This window comes from Homo sapiens, chromosome 2 (assembly GCF_000001405.40).
Source record: "Homo sapiens chromosome 2, GRCh38.p14 Primary Assembly".
NCBI classification, from domain to species: Eukaryota; Metazoa; Chordata; class Mammalia; order Primates; family Hominidae; genus Homo; species Homo sapiens.
The window spans coordinates 11,977,923-11,995,246 of NC_000002.12; the positions used below are offsets into that span (position 1 = coordinate 11,977,923).

Below are 17,324 nucleotides of genomic sequence, written 5' to 3' on the forward strand. Positions count from 1 at the left end.
TGTGTGGCTCCTGCAGGAGCTGCCATATTCTGACATAGCCCTGACCCTGATCACAGTTGATTGGTTCACGTGGGTTCCTAGTCCAGGCTGGCCTGGGAGGTCTGATTTTCCTCCTATATTGACAGTCTCTGCAATAAACCATTTATAGTTATCTGCTCTATGTTAATTTAATTACAGAGACACAGGAACAGATAACCTGGATTACAGTTTTTAGTTGTTTGTCTTTTCTATGGTTTCCTCCATCATTTGTTGAGGAGAACTCTTCCTGGAATGCCCCTCACCTTTTTCTAGACATAGAGTGACTTTCTACCATCGACCATGGTGTGGTCCCTCGCTCAGGGCTAAGCTCTGCCCCCATTCAAGCAGAACATCCTGTCACTCTCCTGGCCTGTGCAGCCAGCCCCCGTGCCTCCATCTGAAACCTACTTCTGCTTGATTTGCTTGTCAGCCCACACCTAGTAAGGTCCTTGGATTCTTTGTATGACTCTCTCTTATATGCTGTTGGTACATTCATGTGTCTTCCCCAGGGGACCCTAGGCTTTGCTGGTGGCAAGAAATCATGGCCTGTGCGTCTCTGTTTCTCTGACTTCACCAGGGGGTAGGCCAGAGCTCTGCTCAAAGAAGGGCCTTCGAAGAATTCAAATAAAATATAAAATAAATGAATGGAAATTAACTTGCTTCAGAATGTGTGGTAACATTTTGGTGCATCACAATTCTGGGGAGACAGATTTCAGATCAAAGGAAGAATCTTTTTTTTTTAATCACTGAGAGGGTCAGTGATAGAGTCCTGCCCAGGAAAGGGTCTGGGCCAAGCTCTGGTGCTTTGGTGTTGAAGCAGAGGTGGACATTCACTTGGAGGATGGCTGGACAGGAGGGAAGCATGGCCAGGTGATGGTGTGATCTACTTTGTTGAACATGAATCACAAGGCATGTTTTACATCACAGTCTCAGTTCTCTCTCTTTTCCCTCCCTGTATATATATATATATAAAATTGAAACAAATGTTTCATAAAAATTCTTTTTTTGTTATGTTTTATTCTGTTTTTTTCGAAAATGTTTTCTGACTGTGGACACACAAGTAACTTTCCAGTCTTTATTTTTAAAAAACACCGTATTTGATGATGATGGTAAAAGTTGTGGCAGTTCACAGTAGCTGCTAGCATATTTTTAAAGTAGATGCTAAGAGCTTTAGAACACATGCTTCATTTCTGAACAACAAGTCTGTTTTCATTTTGTGGACACATTAATTTTGTAATTGACAAAATTAATTGAAACTGAACTATTTTTCTCTTTGACCACTAGAAAGCTCAAAGCAAAGTCTGTAGCTTTTCTCTGTCCTAGAATCACAGGGAATGCAGTTATGTGGACTGATATTTTCCTTGCCTTTCTTTTTTCCCTTTTATTCGTGGTTTCTCCTCTTTGCTATTTGTTTTTCTTGCTGCCTCATATGTGGGTTGATAAATGTTTAATACCCTTTGTGGTGTGAAATAATCTAGGGTAAATGACAAAAAATAAATAACTAAACATCTTTTAATGTAATTGTTACAACAGTTTATGATCAAGTACCCCCATTTTGTAGATAAGAACATGAGTCTCAGGGAGGTTAGTAGAGCTTGAACATGGGGGATCTTGATTTCGAGAACAAAATGAAGCCTCTCTAAAACGCATCCGCACTTCTTCCCTTGAAGTTGCCTTTTGGTCTTGAGAACCTATGATTCTGCTTCCCCCGTCAGAGGGCAGGCGGGGTGGGTGTAGGACGGCAGCAGAGGGACTCCCAGGCCTCTGTCAGTAGCACAATCACCTCTGAGCCTTCTACACAGAAAGTCCATTCAAATTCCACCTCCCATTTCTCCTTTCACAGAAGGGCCTACTTGTCTCTCCATCAGCAATCATAGTTCTTTGTTAGGTTAATGAAGTGTGGCAGCAGCATGCCTGCAGGATAGATTAGGTAGGAGCCTTATATCTGTGCCATCCTGTCACCTTCAGCAACTGAGTCAAGGCAGAATCATCTTTGCTTTCATTGTTACCTAAGCAGACCATGGGCAGCTCTGGGTCAGGGACCAGGCCTCCCTGTCTAGGGTCTAGCACTGACAAGGGATAGGGAAATCTCTATGAGTACATAAGCAAGCAAATGAAGCTACCCTTTCATAATATTGAGTATAATAATTATCACAACAGCGGCAGCTGCGGCAGCCATAGCACCTAACTCCATTGTATGGTTGCTGAATGCCAGGTTCTTCTAAAGAGTTCATGGATATCTTCCATCTAATCTTCATGTTCGCATGATGATGTAGGTACCATTTTGATCTTCATTTTAGAGATGGGAATACTAAGTCACAGAAGAGTTAGGTCACCAGCTTGCACACATTCACACAGCTTAGAAGAAGCAGAATCAGAATTAATTAATTAATTAATTAATTTTTTTCAGACAGAGTCTCGCTCTGTCGCCCAGGCTGGAGTGCAATGGCACCATCTCAGCTCACTGTAACCTCTGCCTCCCAGGTTCAAGCGATTCCCCTCCCTCAGCCTCCCAAGTAGCTGGTATTAAAGGCGTCTGCCACCACGCCCAGCTGATTTTTTATTTTTAGTAGAGAAGGATTTCACCATCTTGGCGAGGCTGGTCTCAAACCCCTGACCTCGTGATCCACCCGCCTCGGCCTCCCAAAGTGTTGGGATTACAGGCGTGAGCCACCATGCCTGGCCACAGAATCAGAACTTAAATGCTGGTGATCTTGCTTTACAACCCATGATCTTAATCACTGTGGGCAAAATGGTATCATTCCCCACTGACTCCCATTGGATGCCCCAAGATCGGGCTCAGAAACCTTGGCTGTGAATTATTAGGGCCTCTGATATCCCAGCATTCTTTCCTGGGTATTGTGTAGATAGGATTCCATTCCTAGGCCCTCTCAATGCTCTGATTATATTGTAGGTTTATACTGGTTTGGTTTCAAATCATGAAGCAAGAAGGAAGCAGTCTCACCCCCTGCCCAGTCTGTCCTGCCCAGCTGGCCTCTTCCCACGAGAGCTGTACCGTCTGAAGTGGCATGCCCGAAGCCTGGAAGAACCTCTAGTTCCAAGCCAGCCAAGTCTCATTCCTGCCTTCAAAGGCCCACCTCAAGCAGACGCCAGATCCCGGCATCAGATCCCCGTCCAACTCATGCAAACCACAGAACTCCGGGGCAGCTCAGGTTGCAGAATCCGGAGTCGAGATCAAGTGGTTTAATACCAAAGGAAAACATTTTCAGTTTTGTTAGAAAGAAAGCAAAACAGGGATGATATTTAATCCTCCAGCTTGCTAGTTCATTTTCACTTGGTCAACTCTTGATAGGATGTGATTCCTGAGTGCCCCAACCCACAAGTTTAGGGTCAAAGAAGTCACTGTTTTTACATGGATCAAGCGGACATCAGGAGACAGATTTGGACCCACCAAGTATCCACAGAGGGACTTTTTTCTTACCAACTGCTGGGATGATTGATTTTGCATAGATTTTCTTGTTGATCCTTATAATAGCTGCTTTGTCTTCCACTATTTTTAGTCTCATTTTATAGATTTGAGGATGAAATTTACAGAAGAAAGAAAAATAACATTTTATTGATCCTAGAAAGTAGAAGGGCTGGGCTCAAATCCCACATTCTGATTCCAAGCCCAGTACTTTGTATTCATGATCTCAGGTTCAAATGTTTCCTCCACTTTCACTTTCAGATGCTCCCTCCGGCCATTCCATCATAGGGCTCTGTAAGGTTGAAAGGTTGTGTAAGGTAAGGGGCATGTGCTTTGCTGGTCCCCGTGCTCTTCCCTTTTCCTGCATAGACCACAGGACTATACTCTCTGGGCTCTTTTGCAGCTCAGTATGGCTACTGTCCCGAGTTTGGGCTGGTGCAATGTGAGCAGAAGTGACCTGCGCAGATGTAGTTTGGGCCTCCTGGGAAGCAGCCTCTGAACTAGAGATCAGCATGCAGGTTAATCTGGGAGTGCTCTTGAGATTGAGACCAACTACAGGGAAGAGAAGGAAGCAGGTGGGAGGAGGGAGAAGTTAGACTGTGATGACTGAGTGATGCCGACTCAGCTATGGCCTCAGCTGACCAGGCAGAACTCTAAGGCTGGGATGGCTCTTCTGCACTGGGGTGCAGGATAGGGTGATGGAGCTAGGCCTTTAGACCCCTGTGTTGACCAGTCATCTGCCCTAGAAATGGGATAAGACCTTGTGTGAGGCAACTCCCTTCAGCCCAGGACATTTCCGGAAGGTGATTTAAGGTAAAGATGAGCTTCCAGCAATACTCCTGTTGACTGAGGAAGTCAGCCCTTCAGCCTGATGGGGCATCTGGGTGGCATATCACAATGTCCACTACATGCCCCACTTGCAGCCCTGGTTCATAAAAACCTTGTACATATAATCCTTACCTCATTTACTTTCTGAATGAAGAGAATTCCAAGGACCTAGAGGATGTTGGAACCACAAGATGAAAGCAGCCTGGGGCCCTGAGTGACTGCCTGGAGCAAAGCTCCCCAGACCAAAGTGTTGAAATGAACAACAAGAAAACCCTTCCTGTGTTGCTAAGTCGCAGAAATTTTGGGTGTGTGACTCATGACTCTTTTTTTTTTCTTTCTTTTTTGAGACAGAGTCTCAGTCTGTATCCCAGGCTGGAGTGCAGTGGTACAAGCTCAGCTCACTGCAGCCTCCATCTCTGGGGTTCAAGCGATTCTCGTGCCTCAGCCTCCTGAGTAGCTGAGATTGCAGGTGCCTCCAACATGACCGGCTAATTTTTGTATTTTTAGTAGAGGCGGGGTTTCACCATTTTGGCCAGGCTGGTCTCGAACTCCTGACCTCAGGTGATCCACCTGCCTTGGCCTCCCAAAATGCTGGGATTACAGGCATGAGCCACCACACCTGGCCGGGTGTGCGACTCTTAACAGTCAGCTTACTTTAACATAGGTGGAAAGACAAAGATGCTGAGGGGATCAATGAGAGGAAAATTGGGGGCCTGCAGAGTTGTAGTATAATTTCAGAGATAGGGTAGTTGTATACCCATGGCCTTAAGAAGCAGATGTGGATTCCTCTCTCCAGTGCTGCCTGTACACAGACATCCCATACATGTGAAGAAGCACCCAGGGCTGTGCACAGTAGAGCAACTGAAGGCACCAGCTCTGGAGTCGGGTTGCCTGGCTCTACACCCAGCCCCATCTCTTGCTTGCCTTACTGTTTTGGGCCAGTTTTGAAATCACCTGTGGCTCAGGCAGAGGTGAGAGAGCTCACTGAGCCAGGCCAGAGCATCCTGGGGGCTCTACACTTCCTGGCATGGGCTTATCCAGGCAGGCTAGGGGAGGGGGTAGAGATCTCTCTCAGGTCATGTTGGGCTAAGTTGGATAATAAAGGTTTAGCCAGAGCTTCTGGGTCTCAGATTCTCTAAGAGGAGCAGGAGGAAGAAATTCACCCACATCACTTTCTAGAACCTTGCCATCCCACTGCCTCTAGCACTGGGTGGCTAGTGAGGCAAATGGGAGATGAGGTGGGACCATGCTGAGCTCAGAGGCTCCTAAGTGCCATGCCATGAGTTTGGTCTTCATTGGGCAGGCAAAGGGGAGACAATCAATAGCAGTAAAAAGAGCTGCTCCATCTAGTTTGTGGTTTCTTAGAGCCAGAAACGTGGCAGCTGGGTGGCAGGTGACCTGAAACAGAATAAGTTTATGGAGGGCAATGATCCAAAGTGGAGGGACAGGACAAGGGCTTACAGCAGAGCACCACAGTTACAGAAATGCCGATTGGTGTGAGAGATTGCAGGTGAGGGACGGTGGGAACAGCCGCTGATTTCAGGAGCTGGGAGGAGGTGTAGAGAGTGAGTGAGGGTGAGTCCACCCTCACTCACCTCAGGGTTATTAGGGAGGGAAATTGCACAGCATCCTCCTTGCCTCCCTCAGGACAGAGACTGTGCTTTTCTCCATTCTGTGCTGGCAGTGCTGTGTGGAGCACGTGGTGGCTGGATTGGATGAATCGCACGACTGTGGCACAGCCTTTCCTAGCCATCTCCTACTGTCTCCCGCTTTCCATGGCCACCACATCAGCACATCAGTTCTTTGTCTCTGCCGAAGTTTCAGTTCGTGAGCCTACCTGTCTGGGCCTCTCAGAATTCTAGCAAATCCTCAAAATGCCACAGCTTCCTTGGCTTCTGTCCAAGTGCTGCTCCTGGTGGTCTGGGCGGATGCTGCTGTTAAAGGTAGGCTGTGATGTGGTGAATAAGGGACACTGACCAGAGCTGCCAGGCGGAGACCCCGGCCAGGTCTAGGGTCACCAGAATTTAGCAAATAAAAATAGGGGATGCCCCAATTGTATCTGAACTTTGACTTCCGGATAAAAAATAAATACATTTGTAGCATAGATATGTGTTGGATATTGCATGGTTCATACTTATTTGTTGCTCATCTGAAATTCAAATTTAATTGAGCGTCTCCTGTTTTATGTGGGAAGCCTCCTGGATTGCTCGTGGTCTGGTTTGGATGGTTAGAGGGAGCTTTACTAACGGTGGTGCCTCTTACGGTACTGAGGAGCAGCTCTGCCCACTCTAAGAGAGGGAGCTGCAGCCCCCATGCTGGCCCAGCGCTGAGTTCATCCTAATAGCAATTCCATCGTACTTTCTTTCATTCATAAAACTCACCAGCGAGGCAATGACAACTGGGGGGCAGGGGTGGGGGGCGGGGGCTGGTTGGCAGCCGGGCCCTCATCCCTCATGCTGCCGCTGACAAAGCTTGCTAACAGACCATTGCGGTTCCAGCACATTAGTGATCGTTATGGCCCTAATGAAGATTTGTGACGCTGCTGGAAGAGGCTTCCAGCCCACTGTTGTCTCAGGCAGAAGGGGAGGGGGTGCCTTGGGGAGCTGCTGTTGGGAAGGGAGGTTCTGGGGACTGGAAGAGCTGGGAAGGATGAGTGGCAAGGGGCAGAGAAGAGAGAGTAAGCTGGAGAGGTAAGGGCTGAGGCTGAGGGGAGAGCGGCAGTGGAGGGGGATAAGGTATCTGCAGCTGGAGTCTGGGGCCATTCAGACAAGGGAGTAGACAGAGTGGCAAGAGGTCGGGAAAACAGCAAGAAGTTAGCAGATGGGGGTAACTCGTTTCCTGGGGCTGTTGGAACAAATTACCACAAACTTGGGGCTTCAAACAACAGAAATGTCTACTCTCACAGCTCTGGCGGCTAGCAGTCTGAAATCGGTTTCACTGAGCAGAAAATGAAATTAAGGTATGAATAGGGCTGTGCTCCCTCCAGAGGTTCTAGGGGAGTATCCGTTCCCTGTGTCTCCCAGCTGCTGGTGGCTCCAGGCATTCCTTGGCTGATGGCTCCACCACTTCATTCTCTGCCTCCCTTGTCCCAAGACTCTTACTGCTGTTCAGGAAGGACACCTGTGAGTGCATTTAGGACCCCCCATGATAATCCAGAATGAGCTCCTCCTCCTCCTCTCAAGACCATAAACTTAATCCCATCTTTTGCTATATTAAGTATTATCCCCTGGTCCAGCTATTAGAATGCGGACATATCATTTTGGGGGCTGCTACCAGGTGTGAGGAAGGACTGAGCATTGTGCCAGGGTAGGGAAGCTTCCTTCAAGGACTCACTTGAAACACTTGCCCCAGTTTTCATTCCCTTCCCCTTACTCTAGTACCTTGAATCAAAGGCAGGGTCATTCACATGTCTCCACGGGGGCAGGTGTGTGCCCTGAGGTGGGGGGAGCACTGAGTTGGGTGGGAGTCCCAGCTCTGCCTTTGACCCACCTTGTGACCTTGTGCTGGTCATGCCTCCTCTTTGAGACTGTCTCACCTTCTGCAAATGAGGATGTTGAATTGCATGATCTCTAAGGGCCTTTCTAGCCTAGAGACCAGTTGATGAACTCCAATCTCATTTTACACTGGAGAAACTGAAGTCCATGGAAATTGAACCTCAAGTCTCTAAGAACATAGAGCCCAATTAAGGCTGTTGTTCACAGTGAGTTTTGGTTTCAGCTCACAGTCTGCTCTTAGCAGCTCTTTCTAATTCAGAACTGAGGTCATAATTCAATCTGTGATTGACCTCAGAGCCAAGCGGATTTTGCTTAAGCCATGCCCTGACTTAGTATCATGGCACAAACCCAGATCAATAGAGAAGCAGCTATAGTGCAATGAAATTAGACAGATTGGGCTCTGTGTGACCCTGGGCGAGTCACTGAACATTTCCCAATCTCAATGTTCTCATTTGAAAAGTAAGGATATTTTGAAGGCTATTGATTTATGAGAATTAGAAATAAATAAATAAATGCAAAATGCTCCATAGGATTTTTGGTATGTGTGTGGGGCTCAGCCAAGGGTAACTCTTTACCATTGGAGGGCTTCCTCTAAGGTGTCTCCTATTTCTCTCCCCTCATTCTCTCTGTTCTAGCCCTGGCCCCACCTCCCTGCTATTCCTGGAATGTGCCCATCCTGCTTTTGTCCCAGGCCCTGGCGCTGGGTCCCCTCTGCACAGAACGTCCTTCTCCCAAATAGACACAAAGCTCAGGCTCACTCCTCCCTTCCCTTGGGCATTCACAGCCAAGTTACCTTCTTAGAGAGACTTTTTTGGCACCCTTTCCTGCTTTGTTTTTCTTCCTGGAAGGTATCACTATATAATTTACTCTATGTTTTACATACTTTGTAAATTGCCTGTTCCCCTTTTTAAACTGTAAGCTTCGTGAGGTCAGGGATTCTAGCTTATTTTTATCACTGCTGAATTCCCACTTATAACAGTGCCTGGCCCACAATAGGTACTCAAAAATATTTGTTGAATGAGTGAATGAGTGAGAGAGTGAAGGAAAATGTCTTCAAGCTGCTCTAAAACCAGACAGGAAAGAGTGAAGAGTACGTCAACAAATCCCTTGAAATGATTTTGTTTTTTAAAGGAATGAGACTTAATTCCAGTGTAGTTTGCAAACTGGGAGTGGCAGCTTTTGGAACACAACAGAGGGGCGTTTTGGGAGAACAAAGAGAGGGGCTGTCTCTTATAGAAAACGTTCCTGCCCAGGTTCCCACTCTGGTTCACTATGCAAAAGAAGGATGCAAACTTGTTTGGTTCTGATTGGCTGACACAGGTCACAGTCCGTTGATTAGGTATAGGAGGCAAAATGGGATTTTCCAGCACCTTTGATGCAGGCGGCATGAGCAGGAACAGACAGCTATGAAACTCCCAAAGTTACTTGATGATGTGAGTTTTCTGGGCATGCAGAGTACATGCCTGACCTCCTGTCAACAAATGGCTGCTCGTCTGTAATTTGAATTTAGGCCTGGTTAGCTACTCAGGATCCATCTGGAGGGATTGGCTCTTGTAGGGTTTACAAGGAGGAGTTGAGCTACCAGTTAGGAGACTGCAACCATCAGGCAAAAGCTGATGGTGGGGGCATGGAGTGGGGCTGATGGCGGAGGGGGTGGGATGTGGGTGGACTTGAGGGATCTTTTGAAGGTAAAGATACTAAGATGTGCTGATGTGTGAGCTGTAGGAGGATGCCAAGGTTGCCTGGAGCCTGTGGTGGTTCCACGTGGTGGTTCTATTGACTGAGCTGGAGGTGACTGGGGAGGGGAGAACCAGATTCATGATGTCCATGTCCAGTGGCCTTTTCCATGAGGGAGACATGGAGGAAAATGAACTCTGCCAGCATTTACAGACGTTGCGTTCTACTTCAACCTTGAGGATGAGTTCAGTTTGACTTAAAGTGATATACTTCAGCTTTCTGGGCTGGAAATTCTTCAACTTTAGAGCAAGAGTGGGGTGAATGGAGCCCACTTGGGGTCTTGGGCAGGCAATGTGGCCATGGAAAAGGCTTGGCTTTGGAGTGAGACGAATTCGTGCTGAAATCCAACCCTTGCCATCAACTCGTTAGTTAATTTCATTGGACTCAATTTCCTCCTCTCTAGAATGAGGTGGTAATTCGACCTCACAAAAATGCGGTGCATTTCAAGCAATATAACATCTCTGAGTGCCAAACCCTGTGCCAGGCACATAGCAGAACAATCAATAAATGCTCATTTTCTCCCTCTGGCCCCCTGGCCCCTGCAGTACACTAACGTCATGATTTCACAGTTCCCAGCAGCAGCCACTTCTAAGCAGATGGAGTTGCATGACATTGTGAAGCACCTAACCCTCTTACCTGTGCGTGTCTCAGAAACTCACTATTTCAGTGCAAATATGCTACATGGATTATTTTGAAAAGGCCATTTAATAATATCTTTCAAGTGACAACATTGAAAGGAAGACCTATTGCTTTGTTTGGTGGTGACTGAATTTATTATACATAAAGAATAAAAATTAATCTCTTCTTTCTCTGCCATTACCTTTCTCTTAGATTTCTCACACCAGGTGTTCAAATCCCAGAGAGAAAACTTCCTCTTTTCAGTCTGACATTTTCAAATGTGTTGATACATACCCGATGGAGTGATTCTGCAGAAGATGGTGCCACTCATAGCTCCAACCTGAATGAAGTAGCTCCCCGAATTCTATTTATGTCATAATGAATATATTCAACTTAATTTTGTCAAAGACTTCATAGGCGCACCTGCAGCTAAGAGTGCAGTATGGATCTGGAGTGATTCTGAATTTTCTTTCCACAAAAATAATTTTGGCAGCTTGGGATCAATATCTTCCTCCCATATGTTTCATATTCTCTATAAAGTATAATTGAAGACACCCTTCTCAACAGTACTTCTCAGTACGAATACATTCAGAAATTCTAAATAGGTAATTTGAAAAGGAAGGAAACTAACATTTGGCGAGTGTTTTCTATGACATTCCAGGGCTGTGTGTTATGCACCTTTGCATATGTCATTTCATTTAATCTGCACAACAATGTGAGAACGACGATGTCAAGCTTACTTTTGCAGGACAGGAGACTGAGGCTCAGAGAGGCTAAAATACTTGCCTAAGATCACACAGTCATTAGCGGTACAGCCAGGATCGGAAGCCAACGTTGTCTGACTCCAGAGCTTGCTCTGTTGTGTGTGCTCTCAACACTACATCTCTAATTCTCCACCCCTCCCAATCCCAAGCCTCTCCTTATTGAGAATATGGACTAAATCTTTGGGGGAAAATCCAAATGCTGACACCAAATCTAGAAAGAGCTTTCTTGGACTGGACTTTGAAGGAACATTTTTGGCTCAAACTTACACTTGGACCACATCTACTTCATCTTTAGTTAATCGGCTTCAGTGTTCTCATTTCCTTGTGTGTAAACGGAAGCAAAGTTGGACAAGGATGTCCGTGACCTTGGACCAAAGGAGACTTTCACTTTATTTGAGGAAATCCTTGTCTTCCTCCAGGAGATGAGAAGGAATCGGTCCCAGCCCAGGGAGATGGATTCTTTCCTCTGCTGCTCTGACAGCCATCTCGGCAACTCTCCCGACCAAACTCCCCAGGCTGTGGCGTGCCCCGCCGTGTGGTTCCTGTTGGGGTAAGATTTGGCTCCATGTCTCCCTCCACCCATTAATCTTCATTTTAGTTTGTTACTTATAAAGATACATCTTGAAACACTCAAGAAGTGAAGGAGGAGTTCCTCCCTGTCACAGACAGCATGCTTCAAGGATTGCTATTTCTTCAACCTGGCCAACTTGGATGTCAAAGTGGACATCCTCTGGGAGGAAACGGCCTTGGAATTTTTCCTTGCTTTTCACTATGTCCCCCTCCCTATATCCAGATTTGTCTAAAACAGCAAAACCCATTTTATTATTGTGTCTATGACCAAGAGGACAGGGATGCCTTTTGTGGCCCCAGAGTTGAGGGATCCCTTGACCTCGTGGTGATCCCAGTGACCATGGTCCCCACACCATGTGCCTCAGCCTGGCTGCCCTGTAATGTCCTCTTCCTGGAGCCAGTGCACTTCCACTCAACCCAGCAAGCTCATAGGCAATTTCCTGGGCAGCAAATAGTTATTATTACTCAGATTTTGGGACAGGGTTCTTGTCCTTGGGACCCACCCTACCCTCACACCTTTGTTAAATGGATATTGCTACTGGTAGTTACCTACTTATTTTTTCCTGCGCTTCTGTTTTGGGGAAAGTCAGATAGGGGAGAGGTTCTGACCATTGGACAGCTGGTTGAAAGAATAAGCATTCCTTAGGAAGCGGAGAATTCTTATCTTGAGGGAATAAGAATCCTGGTATAATGCATTATCTAATTTTGACTTTCAGGAAAATGGCTTCATGGGGGCCAGAAAAGAAAGGAATTAACATTTACTGAGCTCCTGCTATTCTATTAAGTCCCTGTGTTCATGGCCTTTGCTATCTACTTTATTTACATTTACATTATCTTATTTAATTTCTGGCAACCATAGATTTTTTTTTTTTTTTTTTTTTTTTTTTGGTAAGGAAAATTCAGGCTCAAGGAAGGTAGCAGAGGTAAATCTGGGATATAATTGCCAGATAGCCCCAGCTTCAAACTTTATGCTTTTTCTGTCATTACACAAATCTGATTTTTTTTTCTTTCCTTTTCCAATTTTGTATTTTAGGGAAGTTCAATTAATCAGTACTTGTTATAGAAAATTAGACTTACTTTTCTGTGGTTTCATTAAGTTGATTTAAATTATTGATTGCCACAAATTAGAATAAACCATTGGGATTTACATTACCTTGTTTATTAATTCACCAATGTTTATTGGACACCTGCTGTTTTCAAGAAACTAAGAATAAAAAATAAGACCTCGTTACTTTTCTCAAACAGCCCAGAGTATGGCCTCAGAGACAACTATGTAAACTGCAATATATTAAGTGAACAGAGAAACGTGTATAATGGTATAGGATTATGAAATAGGAAGTGGTTAATTCTGGCCTGGAAAAGTCAGGGATGGCTGTGGTGACATTTTATTAGGTTTTAAAGAATAAGTAGGAGTTTCCTAGACAAATAATTATTATTGAGAAGGATAGTTACAACACATATGATAGTGTGAACTTTCAAATAGGATTGCGTATGAGAAGGCCAAGCAACATCCATTGTTAGTCTACCAAGATGTTTCACAAGGCAGTCAGTATCAACGAGAATTTTTCATGGTGTAAGGTCTGATCTTTAGCCTTGTTATAAGGGCAATTCACTAAGATTGTGTTCCATTTCTTGGTGCAGACTCGCATTAACCAAGCTCATAAGGCTGAGGTAAAAACCATACTTCCAATGTGATATAGTCTGGATATTTGTCCCCATCCATATCTCATGTTGGATTGTAATCTCCAGAGTTGGAGGTGGGGCCTGGTGGAAGGTGTTTTGACCATGGGAGTGTATCCCTCATGAATAGCTTCGGCCATCCTCTTGGTGACAAGTGAGCTCTTGCTCTGAGTTCACATGAGATCTGGTTGTTTAAAAGTATGTGACACCTCCCCTGACTCCTCTCTGTCTCCCTTGCCCCTGCTCTTGCCATGTGACATGCCTGTTCCCCCTTTGCCTTTCACAATGATTGTGAGCTTCCTAAGGCTTCATCGGAAGCTGAGCAGATGTCAGCACCATGCTTCCTGTGAAGCTTGCAGAAGTGTGAGCCAATTAAACTTCTTTTCTTTTTTTTTCTTTTTTCTTTTTCTTTTTTTTTTTTTTTGAGACAGAGTCTCGCTCTGTCACCCAGGCTGGAGTGCAGTGGCCCCATCTCGGCTCATGGCAAGCTCCGCTTCCCGGGTTCCGGGTTCATGCCATTCTCCTGCCTCAGCCTCCCGAGTAGCTGGGACTACAGGCACCTGCCACCACACCCGGCTAAATTTTTTTTTTGTATTTTTAGTAGAGTTGGGGTTTCACCGTGTTAGCCAGGATGGTTTTGATCTCCTGACCTCGTGATCTGCCCACTTCGGCCTCCCAAAGTGCTGGAATTACAGGCATGAGCCACTGCACCCGGCCTAAACTTCTTTTCTTTATAAATTACCTAGTTTCAGGTATTTCTTTATAGCAGTGCAAAAACAGCCTAATACATTGCATATTAAATTAGAATGAGAGACATATCTGTCACACTGGCCAAAATATTTGCACTAGTCAAATAGCAACTTCTCTTCTTGTGGGCAAGTTACATGGGAAAGTCAATGATAGTATCAAAGTTCCTTGGTGAAAATGCATTCAGAGTATGATTATATACAGTTAGATAATTTAAGTGTCCCATGGCCCTGTGCTCCAGTAGCCTCTTCCGTCCGTTTTTGTAGTTGAACTAAATTTGCCGCAGAGACTGCAAGGGTTGAGCCCTTAGACCTGCTTCTTCCCTGGCCATTGCTGATATGCTGATATGGGCACTACTCTGTGCTCTTCTTACTCTGCTTCCAGGAATGACCAGGTGTCCTGCTTAACTTCACCTGTATTAATGTCTCCAGTTATTAATATAATAGCTTGGCTTTCAAGCCATTCTCTGTTTTTCAGTTAACTTTCAACATCTCGGCTCTGAGCTGGTGTCTCTGATACTGTTATTAACTCTCTGTTATTAACTTTACTTCCCTAATTTCCAAGTTGTTGGCAACCCTCACGACTGTTCCCCTGTAGAGATAATATCTGTGCTGCAGGATTTATGGAAAGACTGAGACAATGCATGGGAAAAGAGCCCTGTGCTGGGCAGCTGGTTAGTTCATTCTGTTCCTTTCTTTCCAAGGGTGGAAACTGTACAAATCCTCTCCCTAGATCTGTATCTCACTGGTCTCAGAAGACAAGGTTAAATTACTAAATCTCCTCTCTACTAAGCCTAAACTGTGGAGCAGGGAAAAGACTTTTCCCCCACTTTTAAGAGACCTTTTATTAATACTAGTAATGATCTCTGTGTTTGGGTCAGCAACTTCAATTACATTTTATAGGATCTTAGAGCTGGAGAGCATCTTTCTCAGACCTGTGCCTGTCAGCAGAGTTAGTTACAATGTCATTAGAAGAATAGTAGTGGCATTCCTAGAGGAGACTGTGACATTTCCTTCTGCTCCTACAGTAGCCTTAAGAAAGTCTTTACTGCTGCTAGACTTCAATTTTCATGGTGATAACTCAAGCTTTGGCTTTAGCATGTGTTGAGAACAAGAAAGATACCATCCACTCCCCAATGAAAGGCATCTTAGTATAGGCCCCAATAGACATCCAAGTCTTCTGTGCATTCCAGGCTTTGCATCTGTCCATTTAAAGAGTGAGACAATAATTTCCTGATCTTCAATAAAGCAGATTACCTTCCATAATATAGGTGAGCCTCATCCAATCATTTGAAGTCCTTAATAGAAAAAGACTCACATCCCTAGAAGAAGAGGGAATTCTACCACCAAACCACCTTTTGACTTGAATTGCAACTCTTAGTTTGAGTCTCCAGCCTGACAGCCTACCCTGCCAATACTGGACTTGTCAAGGCTCTCTCTGTCCTCCTGGGGAGGCAGGAGAAACAGGCACACTTGGTGAAACTTTTATTTTAAAAAATCTCTGTATAAGTGGACCTGTCCAGTTCAAACCTGTGTTGTTCAAGGGTTCTGTTTCTCTGGCAAACTCTGACTAATACAAATTTTGGTACTGAGAATTCGGGTGCTGCTCTAACAAATACCTAAAACTCGGGAAGTGGATTTAGAACTGGGTAATGAGTGGAGGCTGAAAGAATTTTTGAGGTGCATGTTAGAAAAAGCAGAGTTTGCTTGAAGAGGCTGTTGGTAGAATGATGAACGTTAAGGGTGCTTCTGGTTAAGGCTCAGATAGAAACGAATATATGATTGGAAACTGGAGGGAAGATGATCCTTGTTTTAAAATCACAAAGAGCTTGCCTCCATTGTTTCTCAGTATTTTGTGGAAGGTAGAACTTTCAAGTGATCGACTGGGATATTTAGCTGAGGAGATTCTTAGCAAAGTATCAAAGGCACTGCATGGTTTCTCCTTGCTGCTGATAGTAAAATGTGAGAGAGGAGGGAGAGAAATTGAAGAAGGAATTATTAAGCAAACAGGAACCAGAACCTGAAGATGTGGAAAATTCTCAGTCTATCCATATTGCAAGGAATAAGAAAGTGCATTCTGGAGAGAACATCAAGGTTGTGTTTGACAATCATCTGCAGTGAAGAGATTACAGGTGTGACTCATGGATCCAATCAATCATCTCAGCAGCAATGCTGCCAGCTTGGACTGAAGGATCAGAGATGGGGCGGAATGAAGGGAGGATATCAGGCTTCTGAGATTCCATGGGATGGACCAATAGAGCTATCCAGCTGTGAACAGCTGTAAACATGCATTATCCTTCAAAAAGAGGGAAGAAGAACTGCAAAAGCAGTTCAGAGGTCAGCAGGGATACCATTGCCACTGCCACCATGGGTCCAGAGGGCGTTCCAGGAGGTGGGGCTATCTCCTCCTTGGCCCGTAGGATGGGGCTGCCACCCAGGGCCTTGGGAGCAGGGCAGCCACCCAGGGCTTCAGGGACAGGGCTGCCTCCCTGGTGGTCCAGAGGACAGAGAATGGAGCCAAAGAGGATTGTTTTTGAGCCTTCAAATCTAATAGTATTTGCCTTTCTAAATTTCAGACTTGCTTGAGACCTGTCACCCCTTTTTCTGATTTTTCCCTTTTGGGATGGGAATATCTGTCCAATGCCTGTCCTACCCATTGCATTTTGGAAGCAGATAACTTGTCTTATTTCATAGGTCCACAGTTGAGGAAGAATTTCACCTCATGATGAATTGTACCTTGAGTTTTATATTACTTGATATGGTGATATTTAGAGGAGATTTTGAAGTTGATATTGGAATGGGTTAAGACTTTTGCAGATATTGGGATGGGATGAATATATTATGTGTTTGAGAAGGACATGACTTTTGTGGAGTGACAGGGCAGAGTGTTATGGGCTAAATCATGCCCCTCAACTCATATGTTGAAGTCCAAACCAGCAGTGCCTCAGAATGTGACTCTATTTGTAGATAAAGCCTTTAAAGAGATATGGAAGGTAAAATGAGGTCATATGGGTGGGTCCTAATGCAATATGTCTGGTGTCCTTATAAGAAGATGAGAAATGAGGACGCAGACACACAGAGCTCAGAGCAACTGTGTGAGTTACACAGTGAGAAGACAGCCATCTGCAAACCCAGGGGAGGCCTCAGAAAAAACAGGCCCTGCTGACACCTTGATCTTGGACTTCCAGCCTCTAGAATGGTGACAACATAAATTTCTGTTATCTAAGCCAGTCAGTCTGTAGTATTTCATTATGGCAACTCAAACTAATATAGTCACTAACATCAATTAGACAGTTTCAGTGGGGGAGAAAGCTAGCCACACCATTTTGTTGGCATTAAGAAGATAAATCTTGGTTACTTGACTGACTGTTATTTCGAAGTTGATACTGTATAGACCCAAGCTTCATGATATGTTTCTTCATCTATGATTTTTTTAGATGTA

General features: G+C 45.0%; 1 annotated feature.

Moving 5' to 3' along the window:
* Window positions 267-316: an enhancer, noted in NCBI's record as "active region_15331". NCBI's record gives its function as "activates an Ori minimal core promoter by ATAC-STARR-seq in GM12878 lymphoblastoid cells {active_cell/tissue: GM12878}" and the evidence as "EXISTENCE:reporter gene assay evidence [ECO:0000049][PMID:35858748]".